The sequence below is a fragment of the Homo sapiens genome, chromosome 12 (genome assembly GCF_000001405.40).
Source record: "Homo sapiens chromosome 12, GRCh38.p14 Primary Assembly".
Classification (NCBI taxonomy): domain Eukaryota; kingdom Metazoa; phylum Chordata; class Mammalia; order Primates; family Hominidae; genus Homo; species Homo sapiens.
Window position 1 is genome coordinate 97,588,323 of NC_000012.12, and position 22,532 is coordinate 97,610,854.

The window sequence follows — 22,532 nt, forward strand, 5'->3', positions numbered from 1 at the left end:
ATAATGTTATCCAGACCCTCTATTTATCTTTATATATTTTTTATATATTATGTCCATTTTAACAAAAAATTACTAGCCATGTCAGAATACAAGAGAAAAAATTACTAAGAAAGACAACCAAAAAAGAGAACTATAATTAATGTATCAAAAAACTTGATAAAAACATGGATAATTTTAGCAGAAAACTGGTACTAGTACAATAGAAATAAATGGAATTTATAGCAAAGAAAATCTAAAAACTTAGTAGATGTGTTTGATCACCAATTAGAAACAACTGATAAGAGAATTAGTCAACTATGAGACAAGTCAATAAAAAATGCCTGGATAGAAATCCAGAAAAAAAAAAGATAACATAGAAAAGCATCCTTTAGGAATATGAAACATAGTAAAAAGTTATAGCATACATGCAGCTGAAGTGTCAGAAGGAAAGGAGAGAGAACGGAGGAGAAATAAACATTCAAGATATAAGAAGTTTTCAAAACTGATGAAAGGCTTCAAACCAGATTCAAAAAGCCTCAAGCATTCCAAGTAAGATAAATGCAAGAAAACTACACCTAAGCACAGTATAGAAAGACTGCTGAAAGTTAAAGGCAAGAAGAGGCTCTTAAAACAGCCAGAGCATAGAAAATATGTACTACCTTCAAAAGGAGCAACAGGGCATTGCCTGACTTCTAAATGAAAGTGATAGAAGCAGGAAGACAATGGGGTATCTTTGAAGGGATGAAACAAAATAATTGCAAAACTAGAATTTTATATCTAAATGAAGATATCTGTTTAAATGCAGGCCAAATAATGTTCTTGCACAAAAATAAAGATAGCAGACTTGAAAACATAGAAATAGTAAGTGTTTTAGGCAGATTTTTTAACAGAAGGATTTAGGCAGATCGTTTTGGTCTCAGATGAAAGACACAAGTGCCAGAAGAATAAAAATCACTAGAAAGGGTAAAATGTAAGCACTTCACATAAGACAATTTAATGGCTGGATGGTGAGTAATGATGAGCTATGATTGTATATATTTCGGGTTTTAAGATTCAAATGAATCATGTAATTTCTTTTTGCATAGCATATATCAGTTTCTGACCTAATTAAATTATAGCATCATATCTCTTACCACCCCATAAGAAACTGGGGTAAATCTATGAATAAGGCTGGATTGGTTATCAGGTTACCCCATAAACCTAAGTAACTGACATTATTAGAACAGGCACTGTTAGCAAAATGAAACATAACAGAGCAATGCGTTGAAGACACCATAAATGAAAACAATTATTTTGTGTTGAACATCTGACTCTTTTCCCTCTCACACTGGAAATGCATGCATAAAAAAGATGTGCTAATTCTAAATATTTTATTGACCACCATTTTGTTTTAGGACAATAGACTGGGCTATTAACTTAAAAGAAATCTTCACCCTAGTTTTCTTTTTCATATGAATTAAAACTACTTCACTTTTTGGAACTTGTCTTTAAGGGAAGGTTGTAGAGAAAAAAATATATATGGTAATGAATTAAACACTTGAGATGGAACCTTACTTAGAAGTAAAATAGCAAACTAGAAAGGACCTAAATGTTATTAGGTTGGTGCAAATGTAATTGTGGTTTTTGCCATTGAAAGTAATGGCCCAAACTGCAATTACTTGTGTACCACCCCAATATTTAATCCACGGAGTTTTGGAGGTTTTAAAGAGGGATGGGTCTTCTTAGGGGTGAACACAAGGTAGGTGGGGGTCTTCTGATTTCTTTCTTCAGCCTGAGCTGACCTGGGTGTTCAGTTACAATTGTATTTGAAGGGAAGTTCCACTGATTACATGGAGGGGAAAGAAATCACTTTGCAAATTAAATGGCAGCCACTGGTCTAGTCCAACCCACTCAATGAGGAAACTGGCTCAGAGAGACGAAAATAAACAGCAAAGCTTCACATTTCAATTTTGTGGAGCTTCAAAACATTTTCTTTTTTGTAATAAGCCTGAAGTTTTATTCAATGGAAGTACTCATGTGTGAAACCTTACATTAGTCAGGTTGAGAAAATTACCTGGATAATTTCACTGGCAAATATAGCAGTAATCTGAAATGATTTAGCATGGGACTAATGGCACTTTATATCATTTTAAGTGCAGTTAAACTTCTTAATTACAGACACTCTAGAGACTTAGAAAAATTGCTACAATTATGGCGTGTCATTAATTCTAAGGAAACATGGCTTCCTGGGCAACACCTGCTAGGTCCATACAGTTGCCAGGCTAATATGGAGTATTAGAAATTAATGGTTTCCTTGCTTTCAAGCCACAGTGAAATTTCTGAAATTTCTGTCCAACTTAACTAGTGTCCATGGTGGTTCATTTCAATATGTTATGACTATATACTTATATTTTACAACTTTCAGAGGTTGAGAAAATTCATTGCAAGCATCATGTGTTGGTCATAGAATAGGCAGAAGCTGATTCCCCTAGAACTGCACATTCTTTTAAAATGAATCTTTTAAAAGAAATAATATGTGCTCAATGCAAGATTATAGAATAGAAAATAAAAGATGGTACCCCACCCATAAAACTTTTTCACTTCCAACTACAAAAGTTGAGTAAACAGTGATGTTCTTGGTATCACTTCATATATGTCAGATGGGCTAAGGAACATTTATGTTCATTTCCTTCAGCTTTAATCAAATTACCCTTTGGCTTCAACTATGAGAGCTTTCAGATCTTCTAGCCCTTAAAATTCAGGCAGAATTTTATCTTCATCAGCCACAAGAACTACAGAGCTGTAAAAAGGTAATTTCAGCCATGCAACACATCCATGTTCTTTAAAATCAGTGTGGTGACAAGAGTTAACATTAATTATCAACTGCATGCCTGATCTTGTGCTTTACACACATGATCCCAATATCATCCACCCAGCAAGCTGTAAATACTGCAGTTATGCATGTTGCATAGATTCATAAACTTAGATACAGGGGAAAAAAAGAAATTGTCCAGTATTGCAGAATTTGTAGGAGCTAAGCTGAGCCTGGAGCATTACTTTTTACTCCAAAATCTATGCCTGAAAGATACTTAACTCTACTTGCAATACTATGACCAGGAAAAGTAGTATCTCACATTTGAATAATAATGCTTTGTAGGTTACAAAACCTTTCATGTCACCTTGTTACATCTGATCCATAAAATTCTCTAGTGAGGCAGGAAAGTGAGGGATATAAGATAAAAAGAAGTTATAACATGCCCAATAGTGCATACTTTTTTTTTTTTTTTACTCCAAAGTCCAAGTTTTCTTCCCCACTAAATCATACCTCTCCCTGGGCAGTAAAATAATAATAATAATAATATTAAAATAATGTAAACATGTGTCAAATGCGTACAACATGCCAAAAGGCTTCTCTCCTCTCTGCCATTCTTTTTTGCTTGAACTTCTTAGTATTTCTTTTAACATTTTATTGTCTACAGTAATGTTAATGGGCCCACAGTTGTCTCAGCTTTCAATTTAGAATTACCTTTCCATTATACACTGTTCCATATATTACAAACATTCAGGAGCCCTGTAGATCATTCCTTTATCCTTTTCTTGCTATTCTCAATATTACTAACCTAGTACAAGATCTCTTCATTTCACACCTGAATTACTACAGCTTCCTAATCAATCTTCTTGTCTCCTCCAATTTTATTTATCTTCTTGCTTCTATGCAATACTTTCCCTTGGCTGTAACTTCTTGAGCAGAGTAACTTATCTTGTACATTCTCTTTCCTTCCCTGTAATTAAAGCATTTGTGTTAGAAAAATGCCAAAGTTTCTTAAAATTTTGATATTAAGAGATTCCTACAGCATTCTTTTTACCAGGGTACCCTGCTTCACCTTCCATGGCTCTCTATTACATGCATCTTAAACTCCAACATTTTTAAAGAAAATGATCTTTTTCAATTGTGTCCTAATTTATCTTTCTAATAATTCATTCCTTTCTTTAAATTGTCATTTATTCCATAAATGGCCAGTTGGTTCCAAGTTGCACACTATGTTTTCTCCACTCCAATGAAAGTTATAAGCCTTATATCTTTTCCCCAAGGAGAGCTTCACAAGACTACCATAAATAGAAGAGTATACTCTGAAACAATAAAATAAGCATGTTTAAAATATTTGAAGAGATAAAAAGGAATAGAATCAATAATAGAAAAATTAGACCTAATAAAAAGGATACAGAGTTGAAAAAGAACCAAATAGTTTCATTTTAGAAAAATTAAATGGACAGATTAATGCATATACTAAATGTGGCTGGTAAGAGAATCAGTAAATTGGAAGACTGATTTAGTGAAATCATCTTTGCAAAGCAGAGATGATAAAGCAGAAAATTGGGAAGAGCATTTAAAAGATGTGAAAGCAATAATAAGAAAATCTAATGATAGCTGTATCAAGAGTTGTAAGGAATGAGAAAAGCAAAGAAGTGATTTCAAAAAAACAATGGCTAGAAATTTTTTGTTGTTGTTTTTTAATGAAGGAGCACATGAACCCATAGATTGAAGAAGCACTAGTTAGAAAAAGCTGTTACAGAAAATAAAAATAAGCCTACAGCATAGATCCTAGTAAAACTGCAGAACATGAAATGCAAATAGAAATTATGATATGGAATAAGAGAAAAAGATAGATTACCTTCATAAGAATGGATTCAAGTAACAGCAGACTTATCCGTTATAATAGGTGCTATGATACAAAGGAATAGCATCTTCAAACAAACTAAAATTTTATAATCTGCTAAATTCTCCTACAAGAATATAAACAAAAAATTACTTGTTTAGAAAATAATAAGATTATATAAAATCGTGATCTTCCCAGAAAAATCAAGAATCTGTCAATGCATTTCTTACTTTAAGGAGTGTATACACTGCTAGAGAAGATGACACATTCATTTTCTCATTTCTTTTCACTAATTTATTATCTTATACTAGGTCTATTAGTATAATTTTTTCTCCACATTGTTTTTTGATCAACATACTTAAAAATCAACCTTTATCAAACTACTTCATGCTCAAAAATGCTCAGAAGTTGGCTGTCTAAAATTATCTAAGCCAGGGGTCAGCAAACTTTTTCTCTAAATATTTTAAACATTCTGTAAATATTCTAGGCTTTGTGCACCACATATGGTTTTTCTTGCATATTCTTTTTTATTGCTTTCTTTAACATCCTTTAAAAATGTCAAAACCATCATATACAGCTTGTAAGCTATACAAAAATAGGCTATAAGCAAGATTTGCCTAGGCCATGTTTTTCTGACTTCTGATCTAAACTCTGAACTTGTCACTCAATGTCTACTCTTTGCAGGCTTTGTTTTAAACACAGTACTACAGAAACCTGATGTATTTAATAGAATAAAATATGTTCACCACAAACAATAGCAGAGGAATATATATATTGACTTTCTGGTTGCCAGATACCATAGGTTGACCAGGGAAGGGGTGGGGCACTTATTGACCAGGGAAATTTAGAAAAGCTTGCTCTTTAACAGGGCTGATTTAAAAGTGAAGCAGTCAACTGGAGGCTTTATCAGTCCATATTTATCCTTGGAACTAGGTCCATATATAGGAGACAACATAAATTAATGGGATTTTTCTCCTAAATGTGAACAATTCAGTTTAACATTCATATTTTATGAATACCCTGAACAGATCAAACACTAGCTGAATTGCTGGGGTTGCAAAGAGGAATAAAACCGTCACCTGCTTGGAGGACGTCAAAATCTACAAAGAAGAGGAGGTAGGTGAATTAGTCAAAGAATAACACTTTAAGTTCATGGTTGCCAATTTCAAATCATTGTTAATTAAAAGGAGGTCAAAGGCAAAGTCTAGAGATTAATCTTGAACACTTACCATAAGCCACTTAAAAAACAAAAACAAGACACTTCTTCCGTACAAAAAAATACTTGGTTATTTAAACACTCTGTTTTCCTTCGGGTATAATTTATTAGTTACTTGAAAATTCAAAATGTATCAGTTGTTTCCTCCAGTTCTTGTTTGTTCAGATACATCCTTATCCTCTTTTTATCAACCACTGTGTTTGGGGAGAGTTTAGATTAAAGACTGTTCTAAGCCACTCATGTTTTCTGCAGAGGATGTGGCTGTCTGTGGGTTGTGGTGTGTGCATACGTGTGTGTGAGTGTGTGTGTGTGTGTGTGTGTGTGTGTGTGTGCTGGGTCGGAATGGGGGTGCATATGCGTATTGCTGTTGGTAGAGGGATGAAAAGGCCTCCCTTAACAAACAAGAAAATTGCTTTGCTTTCTTGATCTTTTAAACAACCAAGAAATCCCTGTGAATTCTGTTCTGCTTCCAATCATCAATTACATCACTCAATCAAAACCCCAGTGCAATCACCTTCCAGCTCCCCACATAGCCAATGCTACATGACATAACTCCAGCCATCTCAGCACTGAAGCCATAGCATTAACAGAATGTATCAAGTTATTTGTGATGCTTCATTCACTGTAATCAGAAAAAGAAGTCAAGCGGGCACATTTATCATGGTGACCGTGGAGTTTGTAGGTGAGACAATCTGAAGGGAGAAGATACCTTTGATTAAGTTAAGACAAGCTATAATGGATGAGAGTTCTGCTCAAGTCCAATAAATCAGCAGAGCCTTTCCAGGCTAGCAGACACAGGAATCATTGGTAAATTAACACTTGCTAGAGTTGCTATGTTGATGCCGTTAATGTGAATCCTGCCCAGATACCTCTACGGCAGAAAGTTGGGAAAGGAAGTCTAAATAATCTTGAGAGGATATTTGTGATTGATGACTGCAAAATGTATTACCCATTGGACTTATTCAGAGCTATGCTTTAATAAACCTCAGTCTCTTTTAACGGTGGGATATGGTGAAAGGTCGCTGGGCTCAGTGTTAACAATTAGACCAATTGACTGAAATGGCAATGGTATTGAAACCATTTTGTACATGGATCAGCATCTCCTCAAAGGGGCTGGGGGTCAGAAGGTGTCATTTGAAATAAGAAAGTGGGAACCTTTTGTTTTGGGTTTCTCTGTGTCTATAAATTTTGGGTTTTTTCCCCCCTGGGATTTCTGAAGCCATGAATAAAATATGAGTGTGTTGTATTTCTTTTTCCTTAATGAGTGATTGCCCCGGATGGTAGGACATTCCCCGAACAAAGAAAGCCACACTCTGGATTTATTAACTCTTAGCAAATGTTTGTTCGATGCTGAGTAATAAGGAGGTTTGCCGGTGCAGCAAGATAAAAGGCTTCTCCACTTTGTGTTTATCCTCTGGGTAATGAACAAACAAATTGGCGATTTTGTATTTTTCCTGTTGGAAATTCATAAGGTCACCTGGGGAAAACAGAGAAGGTTAACTGGCATGAACACTTGCCTGTAAGCAGGGTGTCAGGAAAGAAAGGTCACAAATGGATGAAATATCCCAAACCGTAACCAGTGCAGCCGCAAACGCAGGGCCCGAGGAAAGGAAATTGCATTTAATGAAAGCAGAGCCTTGGGAATTGCACTGATGGGCATGCAGCGGATCCTGTGTTTTCAGCATGCACATGTTGAGAAAACCTTACAGAAAGCCAGTGGAATAATATCTCCCTTGCAAAAGCCCTTCACTTTTTGCCACCTTCTACTGTGTCCTACTCTGTTGTTTTTTTCTACCTTCCCCCCTTGTATTCTATTTCTCTACCCACTTTTCCCATTTCATTTCTCACTGCAGAGAAAAGCTACTTGCTAAGGGTCAAAGGGTGGCAGTAAGAGAGGCTTGAGGAAGCTGGAGCTATAGCCTTCAGGTGATTGATAATCTACACAGAGTACAGAGCGTCCGGACCTGCCTTTAACTTTGGTTGCCAACTTTTCTTAACGTGAAGCAAAACTCATTCTTTCTTTCCTTTGTTAGACACTGACTCATGAGGAATCAGAGAAATGGGATTTCCTGCAAGTCTGTGGGATATTTTTCTGCAAAGGTGCACCGGTGATTCTCTCTGAATGAACAAAACAGTGTGGTTAGGTATTCTGTTAAGTTAGAGGGCAAAGGCTGGGGTCATTTCCTGTCAACAATCTTATTTCTTTGCCCTGAGAAAAATTACCTTTCTTCATCCCATTAGAAATCTTTATTCTGCTCCACAATGATCTAGATTGGTTGAAGCTTGAAAAGAAAAAAAAAAAGAAAAAAAGAGAAAGCTCCTCTGATTGACTGATTGCTTTTCCAGATTGGAAAATAATTTTTTCCTGATGATGGAGACAGACAGGTGATGTTTGCCACCAGAATAGACAAACCGAAGGAAGAATGGGAGAAAAAAAATGATAGAAGGAGGAGAGGGAAAGATTGGAAAGAGAAATGGAAATATGGTTATTCATAAAGGATCAGTCTATGAGAAGGAGGAAAATTGTAGAAGGGGGAGAAAGAAACGGGGAGAAATCCAACTGGGAAGAAATAAGGTTGGTATAAGAGAGAGTGGGCAAGGGTTGCAGGCAGTAAGTTAGTTCAGAAGAGGATAATGTTGGACTTCAATTATTCCCATAGTTTTTCTGTCCTTCACAAGTGTAAAACTACAGGATTCTCACTGGGCAAACCTTCTCATTCTTTACCTGGGAGGTAAGGAAGACCAGAAAGCACTCAGAGGAAAAAGCATTGTGTACATATTACATTTCAACTTTGAGGCACTGGGGAAAGCTACGGGTGTGGCATGAACTTCCCAAGTTGAAGGGAAGCATGGACATCTGTACAGTCTAACTTGCTCATTTTGCAGATGAGAAAATCAAGGTCTGGATTGTCTGTCATAGGGGCTCATCCAAAGTCAAGACAGCTTGTTAGAATGATGCAGGTGGGAGCAGAACCCAAATGATCTGCCTCTCTGTCATCTGACTTCCACAGCTGCTGCTAGAGCTGGCCATTTATTTCTCATTGCAGGCGCCTGGTCCCTGACAGAGCTCTGGGCTTCTGCCAGCTGCTTGCCCCTCACAGCTCTGACACTAGAAACAATAGGGGGTTACTAAAGGTTTCCAAGCAGGGGAGTGATGTAACAAAACTGGGTTGGCAGAGAATCATTCTAGCAGCTGAATATGGTGAGCAGGTGGATTATAAAGAAATCACAACACCATAAGGCCCTGATAAAGTACCTGTGTGACCTTGAACAAACCCATTAATCTCTGAACCCAATTTTCTCATATATAAAATGATGGCATTGGATGGTCCTATGCACGTCTACTGTTTTATGATTCTTATCCTCCCCTTTCTGCAGTCGTGGCCATTAACGTTACTTAATTGTAGCAGCTGACAGGCTATGGCATGCCTGTCATTTCTTGCACTTGGTGTTAGCCACAGGGGCCTTGAGGTAAATCGGCCACTTCGCAAACAAATTCCTGAAAAATGGCAACTCTAGCGGCTTCCCAGAGCTTGGACCATGGAATCCAAATGGGGAAAAGATAGAAGCACGCAAATGTCTGTTTAACTCTGCTCTCTTTGATTAATGAATATTATTCAAGGCAATAGCCATAAAATACACAGAATTTACACAGCAAGAGAATCTATACCAGTTTCCTCAGCCCCAACCAGCTAACAGGAATAAAACCAGGGGTTCTGGCTGAAGTAGTTCAGTAACTAATTGAAGGCAAAGAAATAACAGTCAGCTAATTCTGTCACTGATGACATTGTCATTATGAAGAAAACCTAACTCCTTAATTGTTTTGAATCAGTTGCTTGCTTATTTTGTGTTTTAAAAGGTGTCATTTTAAAGAAAAGGCCATCTCTTGGCACAATCTCTCCTTTAAAATCAGGTTGATAATAGCCCATTATAGAGAGAAAAGGGTCAATAATGAGAATGTGGAAATAGTTACCCCTTGTCATATATGAAGATAAGAGAGTCCTCCAAAAAATAAAATGCTATAGAGAGAACATTGTTCTAATATTTTCAGAAATGTGAGTTACTGTTCATAAAGCATACTCTGGGGTTTGAGAAAAAGTTGCTTGCAAAAACTAAGTAAACAGACAGCTTTGGAATGTTGATTAAGGACGGGGAAACTAAACCAGGATTTGTTGTTGGATAATCAAATTTTATATTCACAACTGATGGAGGAGCAGAAATGATGTCAAAGGAAATGGATTTGTCTGGAAGGAAGGACTAAGTAAGTATTAAACATCGACCCCACTCCCTCAACCCCAGATGCACAATAGCGTGTGTCTCTAACTCACTGTTCAGACTGAAGAAAAACCTGGGGTTGGGAGGCGCCATCTTGATCTTTACTAGATTTTATTTTTCCTAAGAGAAATTCACAAGTGAAATTAGGAAATTAGCCATTGCACAACTAAGGCTTTTCTTTTCTTTCTTTTTTTTTTTTTTTTTCCCGAGATGGAGTCCTGCTCTGTCACCCAGGCTGGTGTGTAGTGGTGTGATCTGGGCTCACTGCAACCTCTGCCTCCGGGTTCCAGCAATTCTGCCTCAGCTTGCTGAGTAGCTGGGATTACAGGCACCCGCCACCACATGTTGCTAATTTTTTGTATTTTTAGTAGAGATGGGGCTTTCACCATGTTGGCCAGGCTGGTCTGGAACTCCTGACCTCGTGATCCGCCCGCCTCGGCCTCCCAAAGTGCTGGGATTACAGACATGAGCCACCTCGCCCGGCCTAAGGCTTTTATTTTCATGCTAACCACTCATTAGCGATTTCCATTTATCTTAATTGAGATGACCTCTGTTTGATTCCTTGGTAAGACCTTTGTCTTAGGTACTATGCAACAATTTTCAAACAAGTCTAAAAATCCAACTAAACATTAGCAGTATGGGCACCAGCTCTGTCAAAAAAGCAATTCAAGATAGGAAACAAAAGAACAAAAAGAGACAAGTACTGGCTCTCTCAACAAATACTTATTTTGAACTTCTATATGCCAAGCGCTATGCTATAAACATATAGATCCGGGTTCTAGTTTTCAGAAGTTTTCTTTAAATATTGTATTGAGTAACATTACCTAACAAATGCTTTCATTCATAACTTATTGGAAGTTGTATATTTCATTAGTAGAGAAAAGTAATACATTTTTATTCTCTGTTTTAATTTCTGATAGTCTTATCACCATAAATTTATGTATCTCTTTTTAGCACAATTTTTAAAAATGTTCCATGACTATGCAATTTTTAAATAAAGATACTAGCAACATTACCTTTTTGTCATATTTTTCCCTCTTCCCTTTCCCATTTTTTTCACATATCAGATCTAAAAGTATTTGTACTCTTACTTTGTATTATCAAGGTTGATAGCATTTACATTTTGTTCTCTAATTGTGATGAATCTTTATAATTTTCCATAAATGTTGAAAGCATTTAAAAGCATTTACATTATGACTATGTAAATGTTTCCCTGCAGAACCAATGTAACACTCTGATTCCTTCTCTTCCTGTTTCACTGAAAAATGGAATGTTTCCAGAACCAAGGTCGAAAGATTCTTTATTCTTATACTTCACCAAATTCTAATTTGTTTTTTATTTAGGACACAATATTCTTGTTTGCTTTCTGGAGTTTTTAATTGTCTCTTGCCTTGAGAGGGGAAAAATGTAATTGATAGTGTCCAGCTCTTAATCATTCTAACTACTCTTTGGAATCTATTCCCTTCTTTCTGAAGGCATGCTCATTGGACAGCGATTTCTTGTTCTATGATTAGTCAATTCTTTTTTGGCCTGTCACACAGCAGTCATTCTAATTGATCTTTTCATTGGACTCTTGGTTTTGTTCCTCCATTTCTTTTTTCTTTTCTTTTTATTTTTTTTAATTTTTTTGAGATGGAGTCTCACTCTGTCACCCAGGATGGAGTGCAGTGGTGCAATCTTGGCTCACTGCAACCTCCGCCTCCTGGGTTCAAGTGATTCACTTGCCTCAGCCTCCCAAGTAGCTGGAACTACAGGCACATGCCACTACGCTTGGCTAATTTTTTTTTATTTTATTTTTTATTTTTAGTAGAGATGGGGTTTCACTGTATTAGCCAGGATGGTCTCAATCTCCTGACCTCCTGAACTGCCCGCCTTGACCTCCCAAACTGCTGGGATTACAGGTGTGAGCCACTGCGCCCGGCAGTTCCTCCATTTCTTATATCCTATGTCTTCACTTTTCTAGTTCTTATCCTGTTTCGCTGGAGTACATCTTTAAATAACTACTTTGAAATAAGGAGACAAACTTAGTGAGTTCTGACACATCTGAAAATGATGTGACTATTCATAGTTGCTTATTAGTTGGATTAGGTATAGAATTCTAGGATCAAATTAATTATCTCAGAATTTCAAAGGCTCTATTTTATCATTTTTCAGCATGTATGACTGATGGTGAGATGTTTGATGATGATCTACTTTTATTCTTCTGTAAATTACTTTTTTCTTCTCTCTTTGGCAACTTTTGAGATCTCTTTAACTTTAGCATTAGGAAATCTTAGAAATTATAGAATGGTATTTCTTTTTGTATATTCTTTTTCTAGGACTTGAAAAGCTCTTTTAAAGTAAAGATTCATCTCACTTCAGTGCGGGAAAGTTTTGTTCATATTTCTTCATTTTGTTTTATTTAAAAATTTTTATTTACATATAATCTACTTGGAGAAAAATCCATGAGTCATAAGAGTATAATCTATTTCTTTTTCCAAAAGCTGAAAATATCCCTGTAACAAGCACTAAAGACAGGAAATGGGATGATTCCAGCACCTCAGAAACTTTTCTCCTGTTTTGTTCTGATCACCCTGGCAAGGTAACCACTATCCTGATGTCTAACAGGAAGATTCAGTTTTTCTGTTTTTTTTTCTTTTGTATAAATATAATCAATGGTTGTTGTTGTTGTTGTTGTTTACTAATTTTCTCCTGTTCACATTTTTCATCCTTTCTCTGGAACTTCTAGTCGTCAGGCATTGAAGCTTTGGCATTGATACTTTATTATATGTTCTCTTGTATTTTTCCTGTCTTTTTTAGTGATATGTACTGGGATAGATCCTCAAGTTTTCTTCCATTATTTCATTTTTTGGCCATTTTGTTTGTTAATTTCCCTGTGCTTGTTTTGCTCTCTGTTATTTTTCAAATCATCTATGTTATTGACATAAATCTAGGTGGCTGTCACAATAGGCCCCAAAATATGGTGACTTAAATAATACCAAACTCCATTTCATTCTTGTGTAACTGACATGAGATGGATGGGGTGATTGTGCTTCCCGAAGCCGTCAGGAGCCCAAGTTCCCTCCATCTTCCACCATGTCATCCCTTAAGGTGTCACTCTCTTTTGCATGGCCAAAGCTGTGTCACAGCCACATTCACACGGAAAGGAAAAAAGAAGTTCTGGGACAATAGTTGCATGCATTGCTTCGTTTCACATTAAATAGAGTAGAACTGTCACATGTTACAACTAACTGTGAAGGAACATGAAAAATAGTCTAGCTGCATGCCATCAGGAAGAAGGGTAGAAATGTATTTAGGGAGGAAAACTAGAGCTCTGTTACACCATCCTGTATTTGTATTATTGATAAAATATCTTTCTAACTTTCCTGGAAAATAAAGAGAATATTCTTTATTTGTCTTTATTTCTCTACTATTTTCTCCTGTTTCTGTCTTCCTTCTCTCCCCTTTCTTCCTTTCTTTCTGTTTCTGTCTGTTTTCTGAATAATCCCTATTTCCCCTGGCCTCATATTTTTTGGACTATATTATTCCATCACTTCAGACTGGGACTTTCCCTAAATGAATAATGAACCTTACTTGTCTATTTACAAGGTTAAGAATGAAGAAAGATGAATGTTGACTGGAAGAACTGTGTATACAGCTAGAAAATTGGCAGGAAGGCTCTTCCTCAGTGTGAGTGCACAAGGCAACGGTTATTATATAAGGGCCTCCCAAGTTCAAGAATGGTGAGAATGATGAGTGCTTTTCCTCTGTAGCAATGACAGCCACAATAGCTATTTTAATTCTCTCCAGTTTGTTCTTTGAAGGAGAACCTTATGTGTGTGTGTATGTGTGCGTCGGGGCAGGGGGGCATTCTTTCCTTGTTTTGTACTGGAGTTTGTATTAGTTTCGGCTAAGCAATGCTATAGTAACAAACAACCCTCCAAATCCCAATGGTTTACAATAACAAAGATTATCACAAGTCTACCATGCATTGGCTTATGTTCTGCTTCCTCTTGCTTTATTACCTGACCTAGGCTAACAAAAATAGCTCCTCTCAAAGATACTGGCAGTGTTGTGGCAAAGGGAACAGACACATGGTGAACCATGTGCTGGCCCTTAACACTTCTGCTTGAAAGTGAAACACATCATTTCTGCTAGTATTTGTTGCCAAAGAAATCACATGACCTTGAGCAAGTACAACAGGACAAGGCTATTTAACTCTTGGATAGGCATGTGTACCACAAAAAAAAAAAAAAGGAACAAAAATATCTGTAATAATAGTACAGTCTCCTAAAGGGCTAAATACTTACCCTCTGTTTTTTTAATTGGGGGTAAGGGGATGAGGGAATCAATTGACCTATGCATGTACCTTAAATCCGTTGCCTGTGTTCAACCCAATTTTATGGCTGCCATTCACTTGCTTTATGATTTCTTAATCAAGATCCTCCCTATAATTCTCTAATACTCTCCACTTTAGCCCCTGCTTCCTGCCCAGGAGACAGGTATATTTAGGCTGCAGCTTTTAAATCTTTTCTTAATCAGCGAGCACCCTTCTTTCTCTCTTCCAGAAATTGTTGAAATCTATTATCTGCTTATAATTTCCTTTTCTGTTTTCTTTATTATGATGAGTTTATACCTTTTTAAATTCTTTTATTCTGATACTCATGGGTTTTCAGAAAAAAAAGGAAAGCTTTTGTGTTCATTTGGCTGTATTAAAAGGAAGAAAAAACTGAATACATGCAAAAGAATTGCTGAATCACACACACACACACACACACACACACACCCCTTATTTTCTTTTTTTTTAAATTTTATTATTATTATACTTTAAGTTTTAGGGTACATGTGCACAACGTGCAGGTTTGTTACATATGTATACATGTGCCATGTTGGTGTGCTGCACCCATTAACTCGTCATTTAGCATTAGGTATATCTCCTAATGCTATCCCTCCCCCCTCCCCCCACCCTACAACAGTCCCTGGTGTGTGATGTTCCCCTTCCTGTGTCCATGTGTTCTCATTGTTCAATTCCCACCTATGAGTGAGAACATGCGGTGTTTGGTTTTTTGTCCTTGCAATAGTTTGCTGAGAATGATGGTTTCCAGCTTCATCCATGTCCCTACAAAGAACATGAACTCATCATTTTTTTATGGCTGCATAGTATTCCATGTGTATATGTGCCACATTTCTTTAATTCAGTCTATCATTGTTGGACATTTGGGTCGGTTCCAAGTCTTTGCTATTGTGAACAGTGCCGCAATAAACATACGTGTGCATGTGTCTTTATAGCAGCATGATTTATAATCCTTTGGGTATATACCCAGTAATGGGATGGCTGGGTCAAATTGTATTTCTAGTTCTAGATCCCTGAGGAATCGCCACACTGACTTCCACAATGGTTGAACCAGTTTACAGTCCCACCAACAGTGTAAAAGTGTTCCTATTTCTCCACATCCTCTCCAGCACCTGTTGTGTCCTGACTTTTGAATAATCGCCGTTCTAACTGGTGTGAGATGGTATCTCATTGTGGTTTTGATTTGCATTTCTCTGATGGCCAGTGATGATGAGCATTTTTTCATGTGTTTTTTGGCTGCATAAATGTCTTCTTTTGAGAAGCGTCTGTTCATATCCTTGCCCACTTTTTGATGGGGTTGTTTGTTTTTTTCTTATCAATTTGTTTGAGTTCATTGTAGATTCTGGATATTGGCCCTTTGTCAGATGAGTAGGTTGCAAAAATTTTCTCCCATTCTGTAGGTTGCCTGTTCACTCCGAAGGCAGTTTCTTTTGCTGTGCAGAAGCTCTTGAGTTTAATTAGATCCCATTTGTCAATTTTGGCTTTTGTTGCCATTGCGTTTGGTGTTTTAGACATGAAGTCCTTGCTCATGCCTATGTCCTGAATGGTATTGCCTAGGTTTTCTTCTAGGGTTTTTATGGTTTTAGGTCTAACATTTAAGTCTTAAATCCATCTTGAGTTAATTTTTGTATAAGGTGTAAGGAAGGGATCCAGTTTCAGCTTTCTACATATGGCTAGCCAGTTTTCCCAGCACCATTTATTAAATAGGGAATCCTTTCCCCATTGCTTGTTTTTGTCAGGTTTGTCAAAGATCAGGTAGTTGTAGATATGTGGCATTATTTCTGAGGGCTCTGTTCTGTTCCATTGGTCTGTATCTCTGTTTTGGTACCAGTACCATGCTGTTTTGGTTACTTTAGCCTTGTAGCATATTTTGAAGTCAGGTAGCATGATGCCTCCAGTTTGTTCTTTGTTCTTTTGGCTTAGGATTGACTTGGCAATGCGGGCTCTTTTTTGGTTCCATATGAACTTTAAAGTGGTTTTTTCCAATTCTGTGAAGAAAGGCATTGGTAGATTGATGGGGATGGCATTGAATCTATAAATTACCTTGGGCAGTATGGCCATTTTCACGATATTGATTCTTCCTACCCATGAGCATGGAATGTTCTTCCATTTGTTTGTACCCTCTTTTATTTCATTGAGCAGTGGTTTGTAGTTATCCTTGAAGAGGTCCTTCAAATCCCTTGTAAGTTGGATTCCTAGCTATTTTATTCTCTTTGAAGCAATTGTGAATGGGAGTTCACTCATGATTTGGCTCTCTGTTTGTCTGTTATTGGTATATAAGAATGCTTGTAATTTTTGCACATTGATTTTGTATCCTGAGACTTTGCTGAAGTTGCTTATCAGCTTAAGGAGATTTTGGGCTGAGATGATGGGGTTTTCTAGATATACAATCATGTCATCTGCAAACAGGGACAATTTGACTTCCTCTTTTCCTAATTGAATGCCCTTTGTTTCCTTCTCCTGCCTGATTGCCCTGGCCAGAACTTCCAACACTACGTAGAATAGGAGTGGTGAGACAGGGCATCCCTGTCTTATGCCAGTTTTCAAAGGGAATGCTTCCAGTTTTTGTCCATTCAGTATGATAGTGGCTGTGGGTTTGTCATAGATAGATCTTATTATTTTGAGTTACGTCCCATCAATACCTAATTTATTGAGAGTTTTTAGAATGAAGAGTTGTTGAATTTTGTCAAAGGCCTTTTCTGCATCTATTGAGATAATCATGTGCTTTTTGTCTTTGGTTCTGTTTATATGCTGGATTACGTTTATTGATTTGCGTATGTTGAACCAGCCTTGCATCCCAGGGATGAAGCCCACTTGATCATGGTGGATAAGTTTTTGATGTGCTGCTAGATTCAGTTTGCCAGTATTTTATTGAGGATTTTTGCATCAATGTTCATCAAGGATATTGGTCTAAAATTCTCTTTTTTTGTTGCATCTCTGCCAGGCTTTGGTATCAGGATGATGCTGGCCTCATAAAATGAGTTAGGGAGGATTCCCTCTTTTTCTATTGATTGGAATAGTTTCAGAAGGAATGGTACCAGCTCCTCCTTGTACCTCTGGTTGAATTCGGCTGTGAATCCATCTGGTCCTGGACTCTTTTTGGTTGGTAAGCTATTAATTATTGCCTCAATTTCAGAGCCTGTTATTGGCCTATTCAGAGATTCAACTTCTTCCTGGTTTAGTCTTGGGAACTTGTATGTGTCGAAGAATTTATCCATTTCTTCTAGATTTTCTAGTTTATTTGCGTAGAGGTGTTTATAGTATTCTCTGATGGTACTTTGTATTTCTGTGGGATCAGTGTTGATATCCCCTTTGTCATTTTTTATTGCGTCTATTTGATTCTTCTCTCTTTTCCTCTTTATTAGTCTTGCTAGCGGTCTATCAATTTTGTTGATCCTTTCAAAAAACCAGCTCCTGGACTCATTGATGTTTTGAAGGGTTTTTTGTGTCTCTATTTCCTTCAGTTCTGCTCTGATCTTAGTTATTTCTTGCCTTCTGCTAGCTTTTGAATGTGTTTGCTCTTGCTTCTCTAGTTCTTTTAATTGTGATATTAGGGTGTCAATTTTAGATCTTTCCTGCTTTCTCTTGTGGGCATTTAGTGCTATAAATTTCCCTCTACACACTGCTTTGAGTGTGTCCCAGAGATTCTGGTATGTTGTGTCTTTGTTCTCATTGGTTTCAAAGAACATCTTTATTTCTGCCTTTATTTCGTTATGTACCCAGTAGTCATTCAGGAGCAGGTTGTTCAGTTTCCATGTAGTTGAGCAGTTTTGAGTGAGATTCTTAATCCTGAGTTCTAGTTTGATTGCACTGTGGTCTGAGAGACAGCTTGTTATAATTTCTGTTCTTTTACATTTGCTGAGGAGTGCTTTACTTCCAACTATGTGGTCAATTTTGGAATAGGTGTGGTGTGGTGCTGTAAAGAATGTATATTCTGTTGATTTGGGGTGGAGAGTTCTGTAGATGTCTATTAGGTCTGCTTGGTGCAGAACTGAGTTCAAGTCCTGGATATCCTTGTTAACTTTCTGTCTCGTTGATCTGTCTAATGTTGACAGTGGGGTGTTAAAGTCTCCCATTATTATTGTGTGGGAGTCTAAGTCTCTTTGTAGGTCACTAAGCACTTGCTTTATGAATCTGGGTGCTCCTGTATTGGGTGCATATATATTTAGGATAGTTAGCTCTTCTCGTTGAATTGATCCCTTTATCATTATGTAATGGCCTTCTTTATCTCTTTTGATCTTTGTTGGTTTAAAGTCTGTTTTATCTGAGACTAGGATTGCAACCCCTGCCTTTTTTTGTTTTCCATTTGCTTGATAGACCTTCCTCCATCCGTCTATTTTGAGCCCATGTGTGCCTCTGCACGTGAGATGGGTTTCCTCAATACAGCACACTGATGGGTCTTGACTCTTTGTCCAATTTGCCAGTCTGTGTCTTTTAATTGGAGCATTTAGCCCATTTACATTTAAGATTAATATCGTTATGTTTGAATTTGATCCTGTCATTATGATGTTAGCTGGTGATTTTGCTCGTTAGTTGATGCAGTTTCTTCCTAGCCTTGATGGTCTTTACAATTTGGCTTGTTTTTACAGTGGTTGGTACCGGTTGTTCCTTTCCCTGTTTGGTGCTTCCTTCAGGAACTCTTTTAGGGCAGGCCGGGAGGTGACAAAATCTCTCGGCATTTGCTTGTTTGTAAAGTATTTTATTTCTCCTTCACTTATGAAGCTTAGTTTGGCTGGATATGAAATTCTGGGTTGAAAATTCTTTTCTTTAAGAATGTTGAATATTGGCCCCCACTCTCTTCTGACTTGTAGAGTTTCTGCGGAGAGATCAGCTGTTAGTCTGATGGGCTTCCCTTTGTGGGTAACCCAACCTTTCTCTCTTGCTGCCCTTAACATTTTTTCTTTCATTTCAACTTTGGTGAATCTGACAATTATGTGTCTTGGAGTTGCTCTTCTCAAGGAGTATCTTTGTGGCGTTCTCTGTATTTCCTGAATTTGAATGCTGGCCTGCCTTGCTAGGTTGGGGAAGTTCTCCTAGATAATATCCTGCAGAGTGTTTTCCAACTTGGTTCCATTCTCCCCCTCACTTTCAGGTACACCAATCAGACGTAGATTTGGTCTTTTCACATAGTCCCATATTTCTTGGAGGCTTTGTTCATTTCTTTTTATTCTTTTTTCTCTAAACTTCTCTTCTCACTTCATTTCATTCATTTCATCTTCCATTGCTGATACCCTTTCTTCCAGTTGATCGCATCAGCTACTGAGACTTTTGCATTCGTCACATAGTTCTCGTGCCTTGGTTTTCAGCTCCATCAGGTACTTTAAGGACTTCTCTGCATTGGTTATTCTAGTTAGCCATTCGTCTAACTTTTTTTCAAGGTTTTCACTTCTTTGCCATTGGTTCGAACTTCCTCCTTTAGCTCGGAGTAGTTTGATCTTCTGAAGCCTTCTTCTCTCAACTCGTCAAAGTCATTCTCCTTCCAGCTTTGTTCCGTTGCTGGTGAGGAGCTGCGTTCCTTTGGAGGAGGAGAAGCGCTCTGATTTTTAGAGTTTCCAGTTTTTATGCTCTGTTTTTTCCCTATCTTTGTGGTTTTATCTACCTTTGGTCTTTGATGATGGTGATGTACAGATGGGTTTTTGGTGTGGATGTCCTTTCTGTTTGTTAGTTTTCCTTCTAACAGTCAGGACCCTCAGCTGCAGGTCTGTCGGAGTTTGCTGGAGGTCCACTCCAGACCCTGTTTGCCTGGGTGTCAGCAGCAGTGGCTGCAGAACAGCGGATATTGGTGAACTGCAAATGCTGCTGCCTGATCGTTCCTCTGGAAGTTTCATCTCAGAGGAGTACCCAGCTGTGTGAGGTGTCAGTCCGTGCCTACTGGGGGGTGCCTCCCAGTTAGGCTACTCGGGGGTCAGGGACCCACTTGAGGAGGCAGTCTGCCCATTCTCAGATATCAAGCTGCATGCTGGGAAAACCACTACTCTCTTCAAAGCTGTCAGACAGGGACAATTAAGTCTGCAGATGTTACTGCTGCCTTTTGTTTGTCTGTGCCCTGCCCCCAGAGGTGGAGCCTACAGAGGCAGGCAGACCTCCTTGAGCTGTGGTGGGCTCCACGCAGTTGGAGCTTCCCGGCTGCTTTGTTTACCTACTCAAGCCTTGGCAATGGCGGGCGCCCCTCCCCCAGTCTCGATGCTGCCTTGCAGTTTGATCTCAGACTGCTGTGCTAGCAATCAGCGAGGCTCCGTGGGCGTAGGACCCTCTGAGCCAGGTGCGGGGTATTATCTCCTGGTGTGCCATTTGTTAAGCCAGTTGGAAAAGTGCAGTATTAGGGTGGGAGTGACTCGATTTTCCAGGTGCCGTCTGTCACCCCTTTCTTTGACTAGGAAAGGGAATTCCCTGACCCCTTGCACTTCCTGGGTGAGGCAATGCCTTGTCCTGCTTCAGCTCACGCAAAGCACCCACTGTCCTGCACCCACTGTCTGGCACTCCCTATTGAGATGAACCTGGTACCTCAGTTGGAAATGCAGAAATCACCTGTCTTCTGCGTCGCTCACTCTGGGAGCTGTAGACTGGAGCTGTTCCTATTTGGCCATCTTGGCTCCACCCTCCTTATTTTCTTAAAAAAATCAAAAATTAAAAAAAGAAAGGATCAGGAAAAATAGTAGGCAGTTAAAATTTTTGTTTTGTTCTGTTTTTCCAATTACAGGTTTCAATTTTAAACATCATTATTGACCCACTGCTATTAAAAACAAGACAAATATGTCTTTCTTCTCCTCTTTCCTATCCCAACCCCTAATTTTTACTTAATTTATTATTACAGCAGGTTGCCAACAGTTATAATAATCATGTTTGATTCTATAATATTGTTCCCCATGCTTTAAAACCTTAATTTATGAATTTAAGCAGTCAGAGCTCACCACAACACCTTTTATCATGATTTCTTCACCTATGAATTGTTTATTTTAAGAAATTTTCAGAGGCCAAATGTAGTAATAAGCATATTTTTTTCAAAAAAGATTTGGGAAGAAATCCTATAATTTACTGAAATTTTGCCTGCTTGAAATTTTAAAGGAAAACTTGACTTCTTTTAAATTCTTACGTCCAGCTTCTGTTTTTGGCTAAGATGAAATAATGAGGACCAGTCTTCCTCTTCTGCCTAAAAGCACAAACAAACAAAATACAGACAAAATATGTGAAACAGTGGTTTTCAAGATATTGGACATCAGACAACAAATGAGACTGACGCCATGAAACAAATAAAGTGAGCCTTGAGATTGCCCCAGGTAACTGCTCAGAGAGAGATTTTAGGTCACTGCTTAGACAGAGTCTTAGCAGAGCCTGGCAGTCTCCTTGAAATGAACAGAAGAAGCTGGGGACACAGTGAGCCCAAAGTGGCTAGAGCTCACAGGACAGAGTGCAGGGGGAGAGAGAGAGAGAGAGAGAGAGAGAGAGAGAAAGAGAACAAAGTCGAGAGATCAGCAGATCAGCAAGGTTCATCTCAGTCTTCAGCTGAGTACTACTGATCAGCACTTGTGTAAGGAAAAACCCTCCCAAAAAGTCAGAAGCAACACACCTGGAAGATCTCTGAGGGTTAAGAACAGTTCCTGTCCTGATCGTCCAGCTATGGATGAAATATTGAAAATCTTCATAATTCATTAGGCACTGGATAGATTTCTCAAAAGGGTTTTGCTCAGTAATAGGAAAAAAAAAATCCTAAACTGTGCTCTGAATGAAGACTAATAAAGGTTAAAAATGATACCCAAAAGGATCAAAAACTATTTTCAAACAACTTAGCCACGATTCAGAACAAAGCTCAAGAATTTTTATAGATATGCAAAAAAGTACAACACCTGGCAAGGTAAAATTAAAAAGTCTAGAATTCAATAAAATGTATTAGTCACAAAAAGAATCAGGAAAATACAGTCCATAATGAGAAGAAAAATTAGGTGACGGAAACCCAGCTACAAATGATACAGATGATAGAATTTAAAATAAATCAATTGAAACCCACCTATATGAAACACAGATGAAATAAGTAAGTTCATTAAAATAGTTATTTAAAAAGTATTCTGTATGTTCAAGAAGATAGAGGAATGAT

At 37.8% G+C, this 22,532-nt stretch overlaps 3 annotated features.

Annotated features, from left to right (window-relative positions):
• Nucleotides 7,114-7,258: an enhancer, noted in NCBI's record as "145 bp enhancer 214 fragment used in the MPRA reporter construct; PK_construct_3120". NCBI's record gives its function as "activates an SV40 promoter by MPRA in HepG2 cells {active_cell/tissue: HepG2}" and the evidence as "EXISTENCE:reporter gene assay evidence [ECO:0000049][PMID:23512712]".
• Nucleotides 7,181-7,191: a transcriptional cis regulatory region, noted in NCBI's record as "NFE2L2 motif; enhancer activity is reduced when this motif is scrambled". NCBI's record gives its function as "necessary for full MPRA enhancer 214 activity {active_cell/tissue: HepG2}" and the evidence as "EXISTENCE:site-directed mutagenesis evidence [ECO:0005528][PMID:23512712]".
• Nucleotides 20,100-20,644: an enhancer, noted in NCBI's record as "NANOG-H3K27ac-H3K4me1 hESC enhancer chr12:98002200-98002744 (GRCh37/hg19 assembly coordinates)". NCBI's record gives its function as "activates a minimal SCP1, AML or CMV promoter by ChIP-STARR-seq in naive H9 embryonic stem cells {active_cell/tissue: H9 hESC(naive)}" and the evidence as "EXISTENCE:reporter gene assay evidence [ECO:0000049][PMID:30033119]".